The sequence below is a fragment of the Homo sapiens genome, chromosome 1 (assembly GCF_000001405.40).
Source record: "Homo sapiens chromosome 1, GRCh38.p14 Primary Assembly".
Taxonomy (NCBI): domain Eukaryota; kingdom Metazoa; phylum Chordata; class Mammalia; order Primates; family Hominidae; genus Homo; species Homo sapiens.
In genome coordinates this window covers 853,359-859,891 of record NC_000001.11, presented here as the reverse complement: position 1 = coordinate 859,891, position 6,533 = coordinate 853,359, and the positions used below count along the sequence as shown (strand labels likewise).

General features: G+C 45.9%; 1 long non-coding RNA gene across 5 annotated transcripts in view; it reads right to left on the bottom strand.

Annotated features, from left to right (window-relative positions):
- Positions 1-445: 445 nt before the first annotated feature.
- LINC01128 (long intergenic non-protein coding RNA 1128) overlaps positions 446-6,533 on the bottom strand; it is a 31,856-nt gene continuing 25,768 nt past the window's right edge. For all 5 annotated transcript variants that reach the window (NR_047519.1, NR_047521.1, NR_047523.1 and 2 more), the window contains one exon: positions 446-6,501. This is a non-coding gene — a long non-coding RNA (long intergenic non-protein coding RNA 1128). The remainder of the gene's footprint in view (positions 6,502-6,533) is intronic.

Genomic DNA, 6,533 nt, shown 5'->3' with positions numbered 1-6,533 from the left:
ATGTCATGCAATTCTAGAAATCAAAGCTGAAAAGAAACTAAGACAATTTGTAGACAATTTCATAGGTGTAGTAGAGGTGTGTTTAATAACTCAGGGCTGCAATTCTGAAGTGAAATTTAGATACTTCCAATAAGAGTCCACATTGTGGAAGGTATGGGGCAAGGAGCACTTGCAGACACTGTTCATGGGTTAATTGATGAAAGCTTCATGGAAATCAATATGTCAATCAAGAGCCGTGATACACATTGACCTTTCGATGTAGGAATTTTAGTTTTTAGGATACTAGACTAAGGAAATAATTAGAAATATAAATATTCTTGTACAAAGGTATTCATGACATTATTATTATAATGGAAATTATTGAAAATATGTGAATCCAAAATGATGAAGTAGTTAAATAACAAATGATATATAAATGCAATGAAATGTTATATAGTCATTAAAATTACTGTTTGGAAAAATTTTTATTCACTGGAAAAATGTTTATAAAGAAATATTAAGTGAAATGTTGAGAAATATATAGAACTTTACATAAAATATATTAGCCATGCAAATACATGAGTGTACGCTTTCTGTGGATAGACATAAATATTGCTAGAGAAAAAAATAGAAAAGAATCCATCAAGGCATTAACTACACATTTTTCTACGTTACCAGTATCTTAGTGTTCTAGGTGTAGGTTATTAAAATTTCCTTCTCTGTACTTTCTAAAATTTTAATAATAAGAATGTGCTTTTTAAATAATTTTTTTAACTTGAATATCTCACATGATCACCTGAAGTTCCCATTTTCTCAACTTAATAGAGAGCTTAACCGACCTCTTCTTATTCCTTTTTTTCTATTCTGGCTCACGCAGTGGATGGAAGATGGCATTGAAGGAGCTCTTAAGTCCTCTCCAAGCCTCGCTGTTTGTGATGTGATCATGGCAGTGAAGGGACACGGCTCTGGAGTGCTGGGCTCCGTTTGCTCTGCACTCAGCCTCCCATCTGGATGGGGTTTGGAATGCTGCCTAGGCTCTGCCTTCTCTCACACAGGAAGGACGTTTGGCCCCAAACCAGCTGCTGAAGGGTTTGGCAGAAGCACCCGATGCCTGAGCTATCGCACAGCACGGTGCCCTGGGCGGCTCCACACTCACCTGGCTCACCACCACCCTCTTCCTTCCTTCCCACCGGGCTGCCCTCTCACCTGCATTTCCTGTGGTCTATGGAACTGAAACGACATGAGCAGCATTTCAGGACGTCCCCCTTAAAACCCGCTCCTCTGTTCTTATCCACATGGCTTATTACTACTTTCCAATCTCATCTCCTGCGGTTCTCCACGTGACTACCTTCCAGGCCAGCAGCCTTGTCCCGTGGCATCCCCAGTCCCACCATTCCCGTCCCCCACCCGGAGCACCCTTCCCCCGGCCACACAGTGAAAGGCTGGGCTGTGAGAGCTTCGGTGGAAACCAGGCCTTCACCACTTCATCTCCCTTCAAGCCACACACAGCTGTTGCAAGTTCCGGATACCAATCATTTTTTACAAAATAAATTGCTATTTGCGTCAATATCTGAACAATGTATGAAAACAATCAGATTTTAGGCCCACTTATTTCTAAGCCCAGATGGCATCACTCATGCTCGACCACTGTCCTTATTCAGAATACTCAGGTTGGAACAGTTCAGCTCCTCAGAAAATAAAACACACTCTTCACTGAGTAAGTTTTACCACGAGAGTAGATCGTACACCATTGATTATGGAGGCTGTTTTAAAAAAAGGAGTTCAAAGAAAGCTTAAACAGCGGTCAGATCACTGCCACCAGCAGGTGGCCTCCAAGAAGCTCCGTTTTCAGTTCTCATTTAAAGGCAGATATTTCTATGTTAAAAAACCAACCTGCGCTGTATAGTCATATGTTATACACCTATCTCCCAATTCTAAAACTGACCCCTTAAGAAAAAAAAAAAGAAACAGGAATTGAATCAGCACAAATCACCAGTGAGACAAACCTCAATTAACATCATATGTGGACATTTTCTCTTTGATATTTAAGTTCCAGAAAATGGCTAAGGTTTTAAAATTAAACTGACATTAGTTTTTATACACCGCCTGTCGCAAGCCATGTACCTGGAGATAGTCACAACTAAAATTTGGGGATGGTGAGGGGGAGAGAGAAAATCAAACCGTGCTTCAAAAACCTTCGCTGGGAAGCCGCTCAGGCCTCTCATTTCCCCCCGTGCACCTTTCCTGATCCCCGGGGGTCCTGCCCACTCGGTCACTGCTCCTCATAATGCCTCTCCTCCTTTGGCCATGAGGCCTTTCCAAACGAGCGCAGTCAGCACGTTCTCTGTTCATCTTTGCTTCTTGGGCTTTCCCCTGGTAATTGTTTTCCTCAGCCCATAAATATTCTATTTATTATCTCCCTGTTCTTGACCACTTGTTCTGCATTTTCTCCATCTTCCTTGTGATTAGAAACCTCAAACAGAATGTCGGTGATTGGACTCCCAGGCATTTACTTTGCCTCTAAAATAGGCAGAGCTCCACTCCCATGGGTCCTAATTTTAATCAAATCGGTCATTTTTTTCCAAGCCTCATCAGCTTCGTGCCTCCACTAACGGACTTTTAGTTTGCATGTCTCTACGTGGATTATTGTTGCTGCTGGACAGAGCTGATCAGGAAGGAAATTTATTGCACAAGAATGGGAAGAAATTATCAAGTTAACTGATGTGTAAGGGAGGTGTACCTGGAAGATACTCTTTAATAGGCAATGCATGTGTGGGGATATTTTTAAGTTTTATCGGTACAAATGAAATATGTTGAACACAAATCGAGCAAATATGACTTGGTCGTTAACATCCCTCTGATTAAACAGGAGTGCTGCTATGAGAACGGGCTGTGCCATTCTGCAGGCACACGAGAGTCGCTGGGTTTTAGGGTAGTCTCTGTGGAGAATGGTGACTGGACCACGTGGGAGAGGGGCTTGAGGCAGGAAGGTGAGCAGACTCCAGAGTTCAAGAGATGTTTGCATACAGTGCCCTCTTGTTTCCCCTTACAGTGTGGCTGTGGCCAGTATTGAGAACCAAGTGTTCAGGAACTCATGCTGGCCTGCCGGTCCCACCTGACCTGAGAGTGGCGGGCACTCAGCGTTTCAGCAAGCTGCTTCCTCAACGATGCTTTTGATCTCTTATTGTTGCTGGGGAGGCTGGAGTCCACCCAAATCAAGTGGGAAGTGCTGTCAGCTGCTACGTCTCTCACCTAGGAGCTTTAGAGGCTCAAGGGCATGACTGGAACAGACTGGAACCCAATGGAAGAGTTTGGATGCAGCATCTGTCCTGCTCCACTGAGCCCCAGGGAGGAAGCCTCGGCCACTGGCTGTGCTGAAGAAGGTCCAATCCGAGTGTGAGGCAGAAGAGCAGAGGCGTCCTCGAAGAGAAGGCCGGGGCTGCAAACCACAGGAGCAGGGTGTCCTGAGAAGCAATGGGAGCAAAATCAAGATGCCCAGAGTCTTGGGGCTGTTTCAGAAACCCCAAAAGCAAGAACACGGGTTGTCCAGTGGGTGGAGTCAGCAGTCCCAGTGCCATTTGGAGTTCAGTCACAGGAAGAACTTGCAAATGACAACACAGCACTGGGCACTTGACCAGGTGGGGGACCCTGCATCCCTGAGGTGGCTCAGGGGACAGGACAGAGGCAGGACCTTGGATCCGGGAATGGGGAGCAGAGCACAGCAGGACAAACCCAAACCCATCTCCATCGTTAAGAAAATCCCCAGCAGGTGGGGAAGGAAGAGCAAGAAGGCGAGAGCCAGGCAAGGCTGGCAGTGTCTGGTGCACAGGCTCCCTTTTCACCCTGGCTTATTTGAGATGGAATTTAAAATATTTTTTGCAAGATAGATTGTGAGCTTTAGAGTGAGAAAAGTATTTCCCAAGAACTTTACTTCATTTATAAAAGAGTAGATATGGAGACAAGGCGTCTGTGGCCCATAGTATTTAATGCACTCGAAACACGTTTAACTTCCAGGGTAGATCTGATGTCCTCCCTCCACCCGTAACTCCCCTGAAATCTCCTTAGTGTTTAGTGGTGCTGTGCCTGCTTTCTCACACACACCACTTGGCCCTCGTGACTCATCTCATACATGCATCTCAATTCTCAGCCTCCCCACAGCCCAGACTTTCTGTTTTAACCTCACAGCTGCCCAGCGTGATGGCTGTGTCCAGCCCAGCTGACGGATTGGCCATTTCAACGTGAATCCCAGGCACTCCAGCCTTCCTTTGCAGGTGCCATTTCCTGACCTGGGTTACTCTACCAAGTTCTCTCCAGCTTTTGTCTCCACAGCAGCCTCCCCACATCCCACCAACACAAACACGCAGCACATGCAAGCACAAACACACGTGCAAACATGCTTAAATACCATGTACACATGCACACAGGTGTATATGTGTACACACACTACACACACTGTACAAACATAAACCCACATATACACACTTGCACACACTGTTGCACACAGTACACAGACACACATGCATGTGAACACATACACATGACACGTGTTCGCATTAAACACATGTGCAATACAAATTCATGTACACATATGCTCGTGTGTGCATACACAATACACAGATACACCCGTACATCAACATGCATCAAAGCACATGCATACACAGAGACATGCGCAATGTGCACAGGTACACACATGCACACATACGCTTTGGAGCTGGGTTCACATGCTGAGTGGATGGTGTGCTCTGAACTAGAAGCCCAAGGCCATGGCCCACTTACCTCAGTGAACCTCACCTGTGCTCCGTGTCAGCAGCCACACCTGGATGTCACCCGGAATTGCCCAATTCTGGCCCTGACAACACCGCAACCAAGGAAGAGGCACAAGACCCAGGAGACGATGGTGCTGGCTGATGCCGCCCCTCCCTGAAGGCTCAGAGCCTACACTTGCTGGGTGCTCCATGGCCATGTGAAGCCCAGGGGAGCTGAGTGATGGCACCGCAGGCCCCAGGAGTGCTCCTCTGGCTTCACATGCACCCAAGCTGTGATTTTTCAGATAAATATGACTCAGAAGACCTCGGTGTTTCTGTGTGATTTGCCTACCTAATGTCGGAGATGGGTATTACAAAATATTTTTGGTTCATCAAATGGTTTAAGGTAATTTCTCAGTAAGATGGCTTGGCTCACACGCCATTTTCAAGAATGCTGAGAAAGGAGAGTGTGCCATCAAGCTGTGGAATCGCTTGGTACGCTGTGGAATTCCGTGGTAAGACGTTTTTCAAGGACTGAAGTGCATGGAAGAGGAAAGGAAACCTTTGTTGCCTATTCATGTGTTATTTCCAGGTCTCGACCCACCAGTCCCCACTGCCTCCCTTCGTAGCTCCTCTGGTTCCCATGTGAGTCCCTCCCTTTGCATCCACACGATGCACTGCGTCACTCATCTGCACGCATCTTGCTTTCCAGAGCAGACTAAAAGCCCCTCTGGACACAGAAAGTGCCTCTGTCTCTTTTAATAGCTATTGTACCTCACAGAGCATTTAAATTTTTATTGATGGGTTAATAAATAATTGATTGATGGGGACCGAAACTAATCTTTAAAATTGATTGTCAACTGAAAACCTGCACAAGATATCCCACTGTTTAACAATAGAGAGGAGCTATTGCAGCTGCTGTGACGACTGGCAATGTCCTCTTCTTTATCGCACCTCTAAGAAATCTGCTGGCAAATGACTTCTTGGATACTGTTTCATTAAGGAATTTCTCAATGGATAAAGTTTTTACTATTCTAAAAGTATCTTTGTGTCTTCACAGTAGGTGCTGTATTTGGTTTGGAGGAATTTTATTAGTCTAAAGGACATAATTTCTTCCTTCTAGGAGCTTACAGAGGACTAGAGGATGAGTTACCTGCAGAACCCATCACTCTATGGAACCTCCCGGCCGGTGTCCTGCACCCTAGGATTACACACATGTAGTAACACAACTTATTTCCACATTCTGTAGCCAAAGCCTAATGGGTCAGGGTTCATCAGTTTACCACACGGCAGTCATCTCATGTTGATCAGGGTCGGGGTTCATCAGTTTACCACACGGCGGTCATCTCATGTTGATCAGGGTCGGGGTTCATCAGTTTACCACACGGCGGTCATCTCATGTTCATCAGGGTCGGGGTTCATCAGTTTACCACACGGCGGTCATCTCACGTTGATCAGGGTCGGGGTTCATCAGTTTACCACACGGCGGTCATCTCACGTTCATCAGGGTCGGGGTTCATCAGTTTACCACACGGCGGTCATCTCACGTTCATCAGGGTCGGGGTTCATCAGTTTACCACACGGCGGTCATCTCACGTTCATCAGGGTCGGGGTTCATCAGTTTACCACACGGCGGTCATCTCACGTTCATCAGGGTCGGGGTTCATCAGTTTACCACACGGCGGTCATCTCATGTTGATCAGGGTCAGGGTTCATCAGTTTACCACACGGCGGTCATCTCATGTTGATCAGAAGCCTTGACAGCAAGCCTAGATGTCTGTTGATTATAAATAAAAATTATTATTTATA